Source organism: Homo sapiens, chromosome 20, assembly GCF_000001405.40.
Source record: "Homo sapiens chromosome 20, GRCh38.p14 Primary Assembly".
Taxonomy (NCBI): Eukaryota; Metazoa; Chordata; class Mammalia; order Primates; family Hominidae; genus Homo; species Homo sapiens.
This window is the reverse complement of record NC_000020.11, coordinates 64,176,203-64,193,615: the sequence shown is the minus strand read 5'-3', so window position 1 is coordinate 64,193,615 and position 17,413 is coordinate 64,176,203. Positions and strand designations below refer to the sequence as shown.

General features: G+C 51.3%; 1 protein-coding gene across 1 annotated transcript in view, besides 3 other annotated features; it reads right to left on the bottom strand.

The window, feature by feature from the left end:
* MYT1 (myelin transcription factor 1) overlaps positions 1 to 17,413 on the bottom strand; it is a 77,802-nt gene that overhangs the window by 48,638 nt on the left and 11,751 nt on the right. The window contains exon 2 of the mRNA NM_004535.3: positions 3,456 to 3,553. The gene's annotated coding sequence lies outside the window, so the exon portion shown is untranslated. The remainder of the gene's footprint in view (positions 1 to 3,455; positions 3,554 to 17,413) is intronic.
* Positions 3,949 to 4,886: an enhancer, noted in NCBI's record as "NANOG-H3K27ac-H3K4me1 hESC enhancer chr20:62820083-62821020 (GRCh37/hg19 assembly coordinates)". NCBI's record gives its function as "activates a minimal SCP1, AML or CMV promoter by ChIP-STARR-seq in naive and primed H9 embryonic stem cells {active_cell/tissue: H9 hESC(naive and primed)}" and the evidence as "EXISTENCE:reporter gene assay evidence [ECO:0000049][PMID:30033119]".
* Positions 4,887 to 5,824: an enhancer, noted in NCBI's record as "H3K27ac-H3K4me1 hESC enhancer chr20:62819145-62820082 (GRCh37/hg19 assembly coordinates)". NCBI's record gives its function as "activates a minimal SCP1, AML or CMV promoter by ChIP-STARR-seq in primed H9 embryonic stem cells {active_cell/tissue: H9 hESC(primed)}" and the evidence as "EXISTENCE:reporter gene assay evidence [ECO:0000049][PMID:30033119]".
* Positions 14,582 to 15,282: an enhancer, noted in NCBI's record as "H3K4me1 hESC enhancer chr20:62809687-62810387 (GRCh37/hg19 assembly coordinates)". NCBI's record gives its function as "activates a minimal SCP1, AML or CMV promoter by ChIP-STARR-seq in naive H9 embryonic stem cells {active_cell/tissue: H9 hESC(naive)}" and the evidence as "EXISTENCE:reporter gene assay evidence [ECO:0000049][PMID:30033119]".

Sequence of the window (17,413 nt, the reverse complement as noted above, 5' to 3'; positions counted from 1 at the left end):
AGTACCTCACACCACATTCAGTCTCACTTCTCTGCAGTGAGGGGAGGGGAGAAAGACAGAGCCATGGTCTGGCCTGTTTTCTTCTCTCATTTATGTACTGAGGGCAGCATCAACTTCCCTGTCACTGCTGTGAAGCCATTACAGCAGACAGTATTGTGGAAGATCCAAGCTCCCACTCAACGATCTAAGAGCAGCATTCAAGCATTTGTGTTGCTCCCCTCCCGAGTATCCCAGGAGGATCTTCTGCTGCATCCACAGCCCTCCCCTTCCCTTTCTTTGGTGCATGGACCTGCCTGCCAGCTCAGCCCACAGAACAGATATAGAAAGTCGGTGACCTCAGCACACATCCTGCTTTCCACTCTCTTGATCTCTGAGGCTAAACCATATGCCCTCACCCCTGATCCCCACTGGCAGCCATCACAGTACCCTTGGTTCCTTGCAGAGATAGTTCTGTCCTCACATTGGGTGATGTCCTGTTGCATGTCTGAAATTCTGAAATTCTCCCAACAAATTCAGCAGAATAGACCAGCCTCCTCCTTGGGGTATAGAAAGGACACCTCCATGGGGCATTATTTAACACATGTCTGAGAAGGGGTTCTCTTGACAGCTCTAAGCATGGGATACTGGCTCACTTCATTCCCAAATCAAAAATTAGAGCTACATAATGGATACCCTGATGAAGCAGCCATATCTGCAACCGTCTGTTAAAAACTCCAGCATAAATGGAATTTATACCCACCCAGGGTAGAATCCAACAACATAAAGAGAGGCCAGAAGGGCCATACCCAGTGGCAGCTCCTTCCCTTGCAGGAGCCTCTGTCCAGTAGTCCTTGCCAGAGGCACCTCCTGCCCTGGGTGGCAGGAAGAAGGGTTGGCTGAATGGCCATGCAACTGATCTTTTCCTTGATTCCATATCTCTGAATATTTGGCAAGAAGGGGGTTGAGGAGCTACCATCAGCTCCTGCATACCCCGACACACGACCACCTGACTTCTGGCAGCCCCTTCCAACCGGTCCTGAGCTGTCCACATGCCTGGTGCTGAACTCAGAGGCACGCCGCAGGCTGTGACGGTCCCATGCACAGGGTTTGTGTGTTCACTGCCCTCCCATGCTGGCTCCTCACCACCCATCTCCTGTCCGAAGCCAGCCTCTGGAAGGCTGACCCCGATGCTGCTGTGGCTGTGTGACATTCTCACACTGTGACCACGGCTTATGCCCTCTGCTGCCACCCTCCTCAGCCTCTTAGTCAGGAGATTCTACTTGCACCTGCTGCCCCACTGTCCTCTAGGCAGTCGACCCTTTCTCATCCTCTCGCCTTCTCTGGCACACTTTTCATCTTAGCTTCTCTATTCAGAGCAGTCACTCGGCCCTATCTGCAAGAAAAGAAGGGAAATGACCCTCAAACAGAGCAGTGATGAAAGAGCTGGTGATGCCACGAGAACCTGGGCACGGGTCCCTGGCTTTGTTCACAGAAGCAGCACTTTGAACAGCCATGGGTTGTCATGGTAGGTCCCAAACTCTCTGAGTTTGTCATGTCTGGGCCAGGGGGAGACAAAAGTCTTCCGACCCACCCCTGACATGGCACCAGACATTTGTAGATAACGCTGCATGCAGAGCCCCTGGCCTCAAGTCAAGTAACGTTCATGCTCACATGATCTCATGCCAGTACAGCGCTATGTGAATCCTCAGGATCTGGGGTAGGGTGAGGGGAATGAGGCCAAAAACTCAATGATCAAGATAAATAATATTTTAATTCAATATTTAGAAACATCAACATGATGCAAAAAACCCCTAATAAACAAGATACCAAAACCTTAAATAAAGACAGGATCCATATTACTGACTCTTCCTTGTGCCCCAGGCTCCAACATGGATCAGCAGAGCACTGATAATCCTGCGGGAGCCAAAATATGAGCGGAGGTGCTCAGCAAGTTGTCTATAACAGACCCATTAAAATGTACATTCTCGCCACCAGATTCAAAAGAAAAAGGTTGGGTTTTGAGAGTAAAACACAAGCACCCCCAAATGAAGTTCCCACTACAACTGCATAGCCCTCCTTGCCTACACCCTACGCCATCACTGTCCTTGAGCCATGCCCTGAGTCACAGCTGGATCCTTGCTGGAGAGCATCTACATGCAAAAAAGAAAAAAGAGAGGTCAGAATCGGATCTCTGGGAAGGGCTTCAGCCTAAGCCTATTGTCAGCCTCTACTTCCAGCTGTGAGGGTCACCTGACCCTGGGGACCTGGCCTCATCCAGAGAGTATTGGTGGGAAGTTCTAGAATTAGAGGGTTGGTGGTGGAGAACAGTGGCTGTAAGCACATGTGATGTCACAGTTCGGGAGTGTCCCCGAAGGGAGATCTTATACCCTGGGAAGGTATAAGAAGGGCTTGCACCATCTGCCTCCCCTTAGGAAGATCGAAATAAAACAAGGCCAACAGACTTCATAAGCTCCTGCCAGCAATCTCTGCTGTCAGATCCTGTAGGGATTCTCAGCCTGGCCAGGTAAAAGCAGGGTGAATAGAGAACAGTTGCTCAGGCCTATCACAGAGCCCAGACGTGGTCACACCTCAAAGCAAGGAAGTGAGACTCTGGGGTCACATTTTCATTTTGGTGGGTTTTTTTTGTTTGCTTGCTTGCTTGTTTTCTGAGATGGAGTCTTGCTCTGTCACCCAGGCTGGAGTGCAGTGGCACAATCTTGGGTCACTGCAACCTCTGCCTCCCAGGTTCAAGTGATTCTCCTGCCTCAGCCTCCCCAGTAGCTGGGATTACAGGCGCATGCCACCATGCCCGGCTAATTTTTGTGTTTTTAGTAAAGACGGGGTTTCACCATGTTGGCCAGGCTGGTCTTGAACTCTTGACCTCAAGTGATCCACCTGCCTCAGCCTCCCAAAGTGCTGGGATTAGAGATAAAAGCCACCATTCCTAGTCCCTTTACTTCTGAGATAAGATCTGCACCCAGGCTGGAGTGCAGTGGCACAATCTCAGCTCACTGCAGCCTTGACTTCCCAGGCTCAAGTGATCCTCCCACCTTAGCTGGGATCCTCCCCCAAATAGCTGGGATTACAGGCGCATGCCACCATGCCCGGCTAATTTTTGTGTTTTTAGTAAAGACGGGGTTTCACCATGTTGGCCAGGCTGGTCTTGAACTCTTGACCTCAAGTGATCCACCTGCCTCAGCCTCCCAAAGTGCTGGGATTACAGGTGTGAGCCACCGGGCCCAGCCTGGGGTCACATTTTAGTTTTGATCTACTCAGAGTCATTTTTCTTCCCTTAATTTTAAAGTGACCGGATCATTGCTGATCCTAGTCCCCATTTACCCTTCACCTAACCCGGACTCTGGTGAGGATCAGACCAAAAGTCGCCTCCATGCTTCATGCCTGCAGCTGAAGAGAGGCTTTGTGCAGGCAGCCATGGGGTGGGGCCCTACGACAGGGGCTGCCCTCTCACGTCTCACCTTGCAGTGTCTGCCCAGGTGTCTTGAGGTCCTGCAGCTGCTGGCCTTGCCTCCGTGTGTCCACCTCTGATTTAACAGCTCACCTCGGAACTCATTTTCTGAGGGTTTAAAAAGGTTCAAGGTCAGAAAAGGAAAGCTTGGTGGGTGCCAGCCGTGCTGGCTCAAGGGGAGAAAGTGAGAAACTTGAGGCACTTTTTTAACATCATATATTCAATGCCTATTTCCTGGAATCCACCGGAGAAACAGACAAGGTCATGGCTCCATGGCTGCTTCAGGAACAAGAGACAATTTCTCTCTGACTTGGGGCCTCCCTGGAGTCTTCCTGCAGTCCCCTGCACTGTTGTCCCAGCTCTAGGTGTTGGTTCCCACTGACAACCACGGCCAGCAGAGTGCTGGGACAAGGCAGCTGAGAGCCACCTTGAGAAAACTTGGCATGTCACCCCTCCAACTTTGAAAATGAGCTGACTAATGAGTAATTATTCGCATTACAACCAGATCCTTCTGCCCCTCAAAAGAATGCACAGTACATATGCATTTGAAAAAGAAGATTGTTTTGCACGACTTCTCTGGAGCCCATTGATTGAAGAAAGTGAGATCCACCCATGGTCTCAAATCAGCTTTGCCTCCCGCAGGATCCCGGGGGCCCCAGCATGCTCTTTGCCCTGGTTTCCAGCATCTTTTGTCACCCTGTGTTTCTGCCTCTCTCCAGGGCAATGCCTCCAGTTAATATTTAATTCCTCACATAAATTCCCATGTCTGAGCAGAGGCTGAACGCATCAGCTGGACATGACAAAGAAACGCATTGTGTACCTATTCCCTGCACGTCACTCCCCGTTTCCATGACAACCTGCTTTCTACATAACTGCAGCATTTCAAAGGAAGGTCATTAAGTAACCAACAATGAAACAGGAAATGAATATTCTCGTGTTGGGCCCTGGCTTTGCCTTGGAAGTGAGTTTGGATTCTGCCGAAGGCACGCTATTCCCACCCACTTTCTTTCTTTTCCTCGTGTTTTTGATGTGCATCCCCAAATGCAATTCTTCTCTAGGGTTCTGGCCACTCCTGGCCCCAGGCAGCCCTGTGCCTCTGGCCACAGCACCCTCTTCTTATCTGGAAATGCTTCCATCCCATTAAAGGGCTTCGGATTACCTTCCAGAGCATAAACACAGAGGAAAGCAGATTTGGTAGTCAAGGAGACAGCCTAATACGAGGTCTACAGAGGAACGAATAAAACCACTCAGATTCGGCACCTACTGTGTGCACCTACTCTGTGCCTCCCCTCATTGAGCTGTAAGTCACCCGCAGGCCGTCGCTGAGATGACAGGGCTCCCACCGCAGGCTCCGGTGCCTGGACTAGTGAGGAGGGAGCTGCGGGAGCTTCCCTATCACCCAAGATCTCTAGGCCTCCTGGGTTCCCATCTGCCACTGGTCATCTGCACTGAGCCGGTGTGAGCGGCCTCTAACTGGGGCCCACCTGCCCACCAGGTAATCCAATTCTCAACTCTGTGACAGGGATGTGGGGTATAGGGAGGAAAAGCATATTGGAAGATTCCGTAAGTGAATCGACAAGAATCGTATCAGCCGGGGAGTGTGCTTCACACTTTGAAGATGGGGCGTGGGGTCCTCTGTGTGTCTCTTTTCTTATGTGTCAACAGAAGCTGAGAGACAAGGCCCCAAAGTGCACAGGGTTCACTTTCTGAGTATCTATCCCAGGAGACAAGATGCTGCAGAAACCTGCTCACTGGGCTGATTGGCAAGGCTCAAGCAGAATTCCTTGTTACCATTACATATGTATATATGCAAGACAACTGGGGCATGTCTGGCTGACAGCTGGAGGGAAGGACATAAGGTCTGTGTGCTCCAGAGGAGACGCTGCCTCTCCCGAGTGCGACTCCCCTGAGTTCTGCGCTGAGTCTCTCCTGCTTCTCAGAGAAGTCATGTGGACATGAACTGCAAGAGTCTCTGCAAAGGGACCTCCAGTTTTGTTTGGTGGGAGATAACCAGCTCACTGGGGCTTCTCCACCCACACCCACCCATGGGAGTCTGGAAATACAGCCCTGTGGAATTCTTCGTTGCCCACATCCCTTACACTCCTGTCCCTAGGTCAGTCAGCCCTGGGCTCTGAAGTCCTGAGGCCCTGAGGCCCCACATCTGCTCAGGCAGAGCACTAGCATCCCGGGGATCAACTGCTCCTCCAAAGAGCCACTCCTGCCTCCCTGAGGCAGCAAAGCCGCTGAGCTTCTCTGGGCAAAAGAGCAGAATGGCACCCGGTGAAACCTGTGCACCATACCCCTGGGTACAGAGCACACAAGTAACCACAAACCCCCAAGCGTAGACCCTCCTTTACAAGGGCCTGAGGACCCGGCTCAACCTTGACATGATAGCCTCCCTCTCCTAGGAAATGTCTTGGCAGCAAACGGCTATCACTACTAGAAGCCCAGTAAGGTATGCCAGTTCTTCTCCTGTGGCCCTCTTGGTCCCCTACTGGGGCCTGTGTATGGCCAAACCCTGCCCCATGGGCTCAGTAGGCTCCACCCCAGACAAAGCTCTCCTGTCTGTAGGCTCTGCTCAATCAGCATCTCTAGCAGCACATTAAGTCCCCATGCACCCAAACAACATGCCGGGGCCACGTGCCACAGGAAAACTCTCCACGGAAACGTGGATGCCGGGGCCACAGGCTACAGGAAAAGTCTCCACGGAAACGTGGATGCCGGGGCCACGTGCCACAGGAAAACTCTCCACAGAAACGTGGATGCCGGGGCCACGTGCCACAGGAAAACTCTCCACGGAAACGTGGATGCCGGGGCCACAGGCTACAGGAAAACTCTCCACGGAAACGTGGATGCCGGAGCCACGTGCTACAGGAAAACTCTCCACGGAAACATGGATGCCGGGGCCACAGGCTACAGGAAAAGTCTCCATGGAAACGTGGATGCCGGGGCCACGGGCTACAGGAAAAGTCTCCACGGAAACGTGGATGCCGGGGCCATGGGCTACAGGAAAACTCTCCACGGAAACGTGGATGCCGGGGCCACGTGCCACAGGAAAACTCTCCACGGAAACATGGATGCCGGGGCCACGGGCTACAGGAAAAGTCTCCACGGAAACGTGGATGCCGGGGCCACGGGCTACAGGAAATCTCTCCACGGAAACGTGGATGCCGGGGCCACAGGCTACAGGAAAACTCTCCACGGAAACGTGGATGCCGGAGCCACGTGCTACAGGAAAACTCTCCACGGAAACATGGATGCCGGGGCCACGGGCTACAGGAAAAGTCTCCACGGAAACGTGGATGCCGGAGCCACGTGCTACAGGAAACTCTCCACGGAAACGTGGATGCCGGGGCCACAGGCTACAGGAAAAGTCTCCACGGAAACGTGGATGCCGGGGCCACGGGCTACAGGAAATCTCTCCACGGAAACGTGGAGGTGTTCCATAAAGACGCCCTTCCAGAAGTCATGCTGCTCCATGGACACTCTGTGGTGGGAACAAGGGTCCCCAAAGCTCACACAGGGCACTGCCACCAACTCAGACCTGAGCAGCAGGTCACTACCCTCTCTGAGACTTAAGTCCTTCACCCACAAAGTGGGAGGGGAAGAATTATTTGGAGATGGAGAGACATGTGTGGACGGAGCCTGGAAGTGAACCCATGAGGACGTCAGTGCTGTTGTCATCACCATGGCCTTTCTTGTCAGGAATCTGAAGTGAAGTGGAGGTTTTCATCCAGACGAGCCTGTTCTCTTGGGTTATTGAGTTTCTAGTGAGTTAATCTGAATCCCTGCTCGTGGATGCGAATGGGAAACGGAACATCAGAGACCGCTCCATCCTGAGCACGTCTCCTGGAAAACAAGCCTCTCGGGATCAGCTCCCGGCACCCAGAGGGCGGCGCTGGCTGGGACCCCTCTCTAGGGACCCGGCATCTTTGCACCTGGAGTCCTGCCTGCTCAAGGTAACCCCCACATCTGTCCCCATGGTGGCCCCACACTCACTTTTATGGGGCTCTTGTGGGCAGAAAAACTCAGGAAACAAACAGGGCCTCCTCAGCTGAGATTGATGCACAAAGGTCCAGAGGAGAGGGAACCACCCCTCACTGGCCAGAGACTCCAACACAGGCCAGGGAGATGTGCAGTGCTGAGCTGTAGCCCCCCGTCTGTCTTCTCCTAATGAAGCCCTCTTTTTCCAACTCAGCAGCACTGCAAACTGGAGACCAGCCTGACCCAGGCCCCAGACAGGACGCTTCCACTGAGAGCCAGTGCTCTGCTGGGCTCTTCCCAGGAAGTGCTGCTGGCCTACCCCAAGGTTTCCTTCTGTCGTCATGGCAAGGAGAGCCCCCTTGTCCCAGAGCTAACACCCCAGCTGCCGGCTGACCCACTGCCAGCACACACTTCCTCCTTGCACTGGCACTGTGGCCACTCCACGCACAACCCCATGGGGGACCCCCTGCGGGCGACCGTGGCTGTTTTCATGCTGGCTCGGTAGCCTGGAATCTGGCCTGAGCCCACCTGCCCCCATGGTGCATCCCCTGGGCCTCCGGATGGGAGTCCCTGTGGCAGTTAGCTCTGATCCACTCCAGCCCTGGCAACCTGACCCCCTTCCACTGTGTAAAACCTCCCCACTCTGAAAACAAGAACAAAATAACAGGAAGACTGAGTGAGAGGCCAGGTGGTAAGTGTGGAAAGCCACATGTTTTCAGTCTTCACTAGGTTTTGCATCTCTGGTAACTAGGGCTGCCTTTGGGGCCAGGAGCTGTTACCACCTGCCCCTCAGCAAAGAGGGGAAGGGTAGTCACTTGAGAGGAGCCCACACCTCCATTCTCCCATGCACCCCCTCAGCCCTCCTCCGTCTCCAGCACAGGAGATGGGGTCTTGCCTCCCTGCTGAGCCAGCTTGTCCATCTGGACTTTATACCCACCTCCTTCCCACTGTCAATGAAAGTTCCCAGGAATATCAACTCTTCCCTCCATTCTTCTGGAATATTGAACTACTCTTCCCAACTCTTCAACTGGCTTGAGGCATCCATGTTTAAAAACACAGTCTCTTTGGACCTCACGCCCCTGCCCAGCCCCCTCTCCATCTCCTCCTGCTTCATAACTACGCTTCACTCCCCACCACAGTTGGCCTCCACCCACATCCCTCTACTGGAACAACAGGCGGCTTCATGTTCACAGGGCACGTGAGGGCCCACTAGACATCACTGCGGTGCGTGTCTGTTCACCCCCTTCTGTGGCAAACACTCGCCCCTGACCTTGTCGGTCACCTGTACAGGCTCCTCCTGGCCACCCGGCCACCCCATGTCAGATGGCTTCTCCTTTTTGCTTCCTCGCTGCCCACAATATCTGCTTCTTACGTGACGTGGGGTTTTCCTCTTCCCCTCTTCAGTCATCAGCTCCTCAAGCCAGAACCCTGAGGGTCATCCTTGGCCCCAAATCCTGCCAATGTTATTTTCTAAATCTCACCAGAATCTGACCATTTCTGACCTCTCTGGCTGTGTTGTTTTGTTCTGTTTGCAAAAACTGACAAACTCATTCTAAAAATTTGTATGGCAATTCAAGGAATATAGACTAGTCAAAACAATTCTGAAAAAGAGCAAAGTTGGACGACACACTTCTCAGTTTCCAAACTTACTACAAAGCTGCAGTAATCAAGGCAATGTGTTACTAGCATCAGGACGGGCATATGGATAAGTGGGACATAATTGAGAGTCCAGAAGTAACCCCCTCTATTAATGATCAATTGATTTTTGACAATGGCACAAAAACAATTTAATGGGAAAAAAACTGTCTTTTCAACAAACGTGCCAGGACAACTAGATATCAAAAAAAAAAATGAAGTTGGACCTCTCTCAAAAATTAGCTCGCACTGGATCACATATGTAAATGTAAGAACCAAAACTCCTAGAAAACACCGCGGTAAATCTTTCCGACTCTGGGTTCAGCAATGGTTTCTTAGCTATGACAACAACACTACAAGCCATTAAAGAAAAAAAGTAATATATTGGACTTCAACAAGGTTTAAAACTTTCGGAGTTAAAATAACACTGTCGGCCGGGAGCAGTGGCTCACGGCTGTAATCCCAACACTTTGGGAGACTGAGGCAAGCAGATCACTTGAGGTCAGGGGTTCGAGACCAGCCTGGCCAGCATGGTGAAGCCCCGTCTCTACTGAAAATACAAAATTAGCTGGGTATGGCGGTGCGTGTCTGTAATCCCAGCTACTTAGGAGGCTGAGGCAGGAGAATCACTTGAACCTGGGAGGTGGAGGTTGCAGTGAGCCAAGATCATGCGACTGCACTCTAGCCTGCGTGACAGAGCAAGACTCTGTCTCAAAAATAAATAAATGAATAACACTATCAATATGGTGAAAAGACAACCCAAAGACTGGGAGAAAATATTTGCAAATCGTAAATCTGATAAAGAGCTTGTATTTGGAAAAAAGAACTCTCATAACTCATAATAAGACAAATAACCCAATTTTAGAATGAGCAGAGGACTTGAACAGACATTTCTCCAAAGATAACACGGGAATGGCCAATAAGCACATGAAGAGATGCCCAACAGCTAGTAATCCAGGAAATGCAAATCAAAACCACACTCAGATACCATTGCACTAAAATGGCTGTAATGTTAAAGATAAACAGATAGTAACAAGTGTTGGCAAGAACCCTCATAGAATGCTGATGCGAATGTAAAATAGCACAATCACTTGGAAAATGGCATGGCAGTTACTCAAAATGTTCAACATAGAGTTACATGACTCAGGAATTCCACTCTAGATATTTGCCCAAGAGAAATAAAAACATATGTCACATAAAGGCTTGTACACAACTATTCATAGCAGCTTTATTCATACTAGCCAAAAAGTGGAAAAACCCAAATGTCCATCAACTGCTGAATGGGTGATACGAAATACAGTGGCACAGTCTTTGGCAATAAAAAGGAATGAAGTTGCTTATACATGCAACAATGTGGGTGAATCTCAAAAACTTCGTGTTCAGTGAAAGAGGCCAGGGACAAAAGACCACATATTGAACAATTCCATATTTGTGAAATGGCCAGAACAGGCAAATTCGTAGAGATAGAAAGTAGATTCGTGGTTGCCTAGGACTGGTGGAGGAGAAAATGGAGAACGACTGTGAACGGGCATGGGGTTTCTTTCTGGGGTGATCAAAACGGTCTAAACTTGGGCTGTGGTGATAGATGTACAACCCTACACGTACGCTAAAACCACTGAATTGTATATTTTTAATAGGTGAATTCTGTGATGTGCACATTACATTCCAATAACGCTGTTTTTAAACAGTGGCATGTGGATGGTCAGTGAGACACTCTGGGGACTCTTGCCTAGGGCAGGAGGTCCCAGCAAGTCCCCTTTGGTTCTCCAGACTGGGTTCTGTGAGCCTGTGTCCTGGGCCAGCCTCTGGACCGCTGCGCCTCAACCCCAAACTGGACCACCTTGATGCCTATCACTCCCTGCTCCTGGAGGCCAGGGAGGGCTGGGTCCAGGGATACAACAGGAGGATGGGTCATGCGAGTGACACGAGACAGGCCACGGAGGTCAGAGTGAGAGCTCTTGGGTCCACTTCACCCTCCCACTCCCCAGAGCAGTTAGAGCTGTACTCATTCAACAGGGCCAAAGGAAGGCGACCTGCCTCTGCACAGCCAGGAGGCATCGGGACCCAGAACGGCCCAAGCTCACCTCCCACCTCGGCCAGTGCTATGTCAGGATGTGTCCACAGCTATCCATGCAGCTGAGCCGATGGCCAGGGCCAATCCCACCTGGTAGCTAACCCAGCAGCAACAGCCCCCCATTCTGCCTGTGCGTGCGTATTGGCTGGGCCTGCCACGCCCTGGGACACCGTGGCTGCTCCAGCCGCCACTTCCCTGGAGAGGGCAGGCCTTCTTAGCTTTCATCATACCTCATGCAGAGTGAAACTGAAAAGCTGGGCCCAGGGTTGAGTATAAACTTACATCTTGCCATTCGAAAGGAAAAAAAACAAAAAACAAAAAACTTTTTTCCTGCTTCTCCTCTCAATCCCTCATTTATCCCCTTCTTGCTGCTACTTGGGTTTAAATCAGAGCCTGGCAAGGCAGCAAGAAAACGGTTAGAATAAAAATTTAGAAACAATTTAAGGCCCACACGAAACCAGTCACAGGTCACAGTAGACTCCTGGGGGACCACAGCCCAGGATTCCTCCCTCTAGTCCCAAAGAGCCTCTGACACCCAAGGGGACACCCCTGAGGTCCAGGCTACACCCCCAGACATAGGAAGGTAAGGCCCTAGGAGGCAAACAGACTCACATCCATGTCACATGGCTCCTGGAGGAGGCAGCAGAAATACTAGGTCCAGCATCTGCCTCTCAAAGTTCAAAGCGAGGTCCCCACCGCAGTCTGAGAACTGCCAGGGTGCTCAATAATGGCTGTTCCTGGGACCTTTCCTGGCCTGTGGGAGGAACCTGCACTGGATGAGCAAATGAGTGTTTCAGGAGGCTCCTTCAGGCTCCCTCGACTAACAGTGTGGGCAGCGGTTAGAGCAGGAACAAGGACAAACCAGGAGGCAGGACACAGACTCTCCAGACGCATGTGGACAGGGCAGATATGGCCCAGCCCAGACAGTGACAGGAGGACTTGTTTGGGAAGGCTTAATACCATTGTGTCCATCCTCCCCAACTTGGAAATAAATTGTAAAACCAAAATGAAAAATTCAACAGAAGACTTGGGAGATAGAGTCAAAGAAATATACTAGGAAAGTGAACAAAAGGACGAAGAGATAGCAGAGACGGAGGAAACGCTGAGTGAGGACTGACACCCGATTTGGGAGTTCCAGAAAGAGAGAATTAAGAAAATGGGAAGGAAAAGTGTAAGTTAAATAATAAAAAAAATTTTCCGAGAACTAAAGGAAATTATATTTTTAGATTAAAAAGCCCATTAAGTGCCCATAATCGTGAATAAAAAGAGACCCACATCCAACCAAGCCCGGCACTATAAAATTTTAAAACACCAGGAATAGAAAAAAGACCCTAAAAGCTTTTGAAGTGGGAAAAAGTCACAAACAAAACCGATAACTAGAATAGGATCACATTGCTCCAGAGCAGCATTCACAGACAGTAGAGAAAGCCTCTTCCCAATTTCAAGGGAGTTGACATTCAACTTCAGGGCATGTCCTCTATGCCCAGGCAAAACACTGATCACAGGAAGTAGAAGAATAAAAAAATCCAGATATGCACAGCCTCAAAAACTGAGCATTGAACCGCGAGTAAGGGAAGCGAGGGCAGGGAGGTGCATGTGGCAGGGGTGGTGATCACTGTCTACAAGAAAAACAAACCACAAAATCTTGTATGAGACATAACACTGGTAAACTGTTTGGTCCACCAGCGAAACACTGAAGATAAAGAAAGATAACGCTCAACGCTACAAAGGAAGCTAGCTGGTCACTGTGAGCACAAGTGTCCGAAAAGGTCCAGTTCTGGAGCCACAGGGAGGCCAATCAGCCCATTATACTTGGATTGTCCTGGCCCACACCCTGTGAACCCCAAAGTCCTGGGCAACTGGCCAGTGAGGCTCCCCAGCACCAGAGCCCTTGCAGGGGAGAAGGTGTCCCCACCAAGGCCTAGAACAGAGGGTGGGGCTGTCCTGTGGCGACCCAGAGGTTGGCCTGCAGAGAGGGGCTCAGCAAGGGGTCAGCACTTGTGTGGAGTAAGGAGGGTGCTGGTATGGGGAAAGAGGTGGATCAAAGAAGTAAACACATTAAAGATAATGGAAACCAGCTTTCTCACTGTTGGAAGAGGACGTTATGCCTACGGAAAGGCAGAACCTTAGAATGAACCCTGTGTGGGAATTGGAATCAGAGGTTATCAATATGAACTTGTGTTTTTCAATAAACATCGATAGATGGAGAAGTAAATACAGACCTAGGTGAAAAAGGGTGTGTGTGTGGCGTGTGTCTGTAACTGTGTGTGTGTAGCATGTGTGTATAACTGTATAGAGCATGCATGTAACTGTGTAGCATGTAACTGTGTGTAGCGTGTGTGTAGCATGTATAACTGTGTGTAGCGTGTGTGTAGCATGTACCTGTGTGTAGCATGTGTGTGTAACTGCGTGTGGTGTGTAACTGTGTGTGACTGTGTGGCATGTAACTGCATGTAGCATGTGTGTAGCGTGTGTGGCGTATGTGTGTAACTGTGTGTAGCATGTGAGTGTGTAACTGTGTGCAAATGTGTAACTGTGTGTGTAGCATGTGTGTATAACTGTATAGAGCATGCATGTAACTGTGTAGCGTGTGTGTAACTGTGTGTAGCCTGTGTGTAGTATGTGTGTGTAACTGTGTGTGTGTAGCATTGTGTAACTGTGTGTAGCATGTGAGTATGTGTGTGTACACACATACGTCTTCCCAGCCATGTCCACTAGAGGCCCAACACCCAGGTCTCAGGCTAACACCATTTTCTAATAAAAGGAACCAGAGTTCCAGGCCCCAAGCAGGAAAGGCAAGAACAAGAAAGGACAGGGGAGCTGGACCGAGGCTGCAGGAGCCTCTGTACTGGGCTTCCACTGGTCAATCAGGGACAATCTGAGCATCCAAAGAAGGCTTTCAGCCCATGGGGTAAAACAGGAAACAACGAGTCTATAGAGATATCCATCAAAGTTAAGTGATGGTTTGTTGAGGATGGAGATATTTCCATAGTTTCAAAGTACCTTCCCCCCAAATATTTATTAATTGCAAAGGGAAAATGACTGGCATTTCCCTCTGGCATAGAGGTGCTGGGATGCCCCATCTAATCCAGTGACCAAGTCAACATTATGAGTTAAGGGACAAATCAGCATCAGGTGAAGGGAGAACCTCCCACTCAGGTGTTCCTGCATCACGGGCAACACTGGACAAACCCACGTTGAAGGGCATCCCACCGAATAACGGCTCAGTGCTCCCACGTTGAAGGGCATCCCACCGAATAATGGCTCAGTGCTCCCACGTTGAAGGGTATCTCACCGAATAACGGCTCAGTGCTCCCACGTTGAAGGGTATCCCACTGAATAACAGCTCAGTGCTCCCACCTTGAAGGGTATCTCACCAAATAACGGCTCAGTGCTCCCACGTTGAAGGGTATCCCACTGAATAACGGCTCAGTGCTCCCACCTTGAAGGGTATCTCACCGAATAACGGCTCAGTGCTCCCACGTTGAAGGGTATCTCACCGAATAACGGCTCAGTGCTCCCACGTTGAAGGGTATCCCACTGAATAACGGCTCAGTGCTCCCACGTTGAAGGGCATCCCACTGAATAACGGCTTAGTGCTCCCACGTTGAAGGGTATCCCACCGAATAACGGCTCAGTGCTCCCACGTTGAAGGGCATCCCACCAAATAACGGCTCAGTGCTCCCACGTTGAAGGGCATCCCACCGAATAACGGCTCAGTGCTCCCACGTTGAAGGGTATCTCACCGAATAACGGCTCAGTGCTCCCACGTTGAAGGGTATCCCACCGAATAACGGCTCAGTGCTCCCACGTTGAAGGGCATCCCACCGAATAACGGCTCAGTGCTCCCACGTTGAAGGGTATCTCACCGAATAACGGCTCAGTGCTGCCACGTTGAAGGGTATCCCACCGAATAACGGCTCAGTGCTCCCACGTTGAAGGGTATCCCACCGAATAACGGCTCAGTGCTCCCACGTTGAAGGGTATCCCACTGAATAACGGCTCAGCGCTCTTCCAAAAGCACAAGGTCACGAAAGGCGAGGAGTGCTAAAAACGACTTCAGACGAACGAGACACCAGGACCACGCACAGCACGTGGTTCTGAACCCACCCCTGAATGGGTCTGAGGACCAGATGGCCGAGAAGGTGAGGGTGGAGCAGTGGGAGAGCGGCCTCTCTGCTGGAAACACCCATGCAAGTGTCCTTGGTGATGGCATCGCATCAGCAACACGCTCTCAAACGCTCAGGAGAAACAGCTTGGCCCTTTACTTGAAACGTTTCTGTGGCTTTGAGATTGTTTCAAAATGTATTTTTGAAAATAATGAGGATGGGGGACTGTGATTTAAGTAACCAGTGGTCAGTGGAGGCCTCTGTGAAGAGAGAAGCTGGGACCAAGGAGGATCCTGAGGTGCCTCCTCCGGGCAGGACGCTCCACCTCCCTCTGTCCCAGGACTGCTCCTGGAAGACCCTGAAGTCCATGATGTGCTCAGCCAAGTCTGCTTCCAAAGCTGGCTGGGCAGGTGCCGGCCCCAGCCCCACCCAGGGTTTCTCTCAGGGATGGCTGGCTTTGTTCCTGGGGGCATCCTGGAAAGCCCAGGGGACCAGGCACCTGAGAAAGTCTGACAAGCTTGGAAATTTCCATGAAGAAGGTGGAACCCATGCCCTAGAAACTGCGGGTCCCATGGGGCTGAGGGGAAGGTGGAACAGGACTCCCTCAGCCCACACAGGACCCCCCACATTTGCCCCTGCCCCCAGCCTTTCCCAGCAGCGGGTCCAAAACAGGCCCACTAGCTCCGGAGAGGGGTACCCTCTTGTCCCTGCCCTGGAGAGGGGTGCCCTCTTGTCCCCGCCCCCGGAGAGGGGTGCCCTCATGTCCCCACCCCTGGAGAGGGGTGCCCTCTTGTCCCCACCCTGGAGAGGGGTGCCCTCTTGTCCCCGCCCCGAGGGCCTCTTCCTCTCCACACCCTGGGGGGCCACAGTCACAGGGGCTTCTGCTCCGGGGTTTGGGGCATCTGGAGGAAACACTGGCAGGAAACACAAATGGGACCGAGGGGAAAATGAGGGCAAGTTTTGCTCTTTTTCTTTCCTTTTTTTTTTTCCTCTCTGGAATCCAGAGAGAAGTAAAATGAAGACTTGCTGAGTGGCGCAAAGGCAGACCAGCTTTTGCTGAGTTTAGGTGAAAATGAGAGAAGGGAGAGGTGGGGGCAGGGAGTTGGCAATTCTATAGCTTTGCACATTTCTCTCATTATTTTGCTTCTAAATCAGCCTCGCTGGTACTTTCTCTATTCAATAAAAGCCAAATGCAAGCCATGTCCTCTAATCTCTCCAACAGCAGCTCACTGCTGAGAAAATAATACAGATGTAACTTCCAGCATCATACACTTTCTTTTCCATTTATATGCAAATAGTGACCTTTCACCCAGGCTGTCTCAAAGAAGTGTTTCCTTAAAAATGCAAATAGCATGTTGCAGGCAGTTACTGTGGCTGAGTCTTTCTTATATTATTATCATTATTTCTTTTAACCTTACCAACGCTGTAAAAACAACAGCTAAACTGCTCTGCAGTAATAATGACTTTCCAAACCAAATCACAGGACGGGCTCTCCAGGCGGCCTGTCATCCCCGGCTGCCAACAGGGGAGGAGTGTGCCCAGCCCAGGGCAGGCAGTGTGCTGGGAGGGACACCAATAGTGTCACATTCATCCCTCCCGGGGTGCCTGGGAGAGCAGTTCAGCCATGTGACCAGGCCTCACACCCAGGCCGGGTGCCCGGAACCCAGGCGGCACCAAGGAAACCACTCCACACTGCTCCACGCAGACACACACAGCTTTTCCTTCTGGGGCGAGAACATCCTCAGCTCCAAGTGGGGTTCAATGCTGTGACCCCAGTCCAGCACATTCGCCCCACACCCAGGACAAGGAACCCAGAGTGGGGACCTCCAGAAATAGGTGGCTCCCAAGAGGCTACCAGGGAGCAGGAAAGATGCTAGAAGAGGAGAAGCCAGGGAGGGGAAATGGACACAACTACAGGGAAAGATGCTGCAGGAGAAGCCAGGGAGGGGAAATGGACACAACTACAGGGAAAGATGCTGCAGGAGAAGCCAGGGAGGGGAAATGGACACAACTACAGGGAAAGATGCTGCAGGAGGAGAAGCCAGGGAGGGGGAATGGACACAACTACAGGGAAAGATGCTGCAGGAGGAGAAGCCAGGGAGGGGAAATGGACACAACTACAGGGAAAGATGCTGCAGGAGGAGACGCCAGGGAGGGGGAATGGAC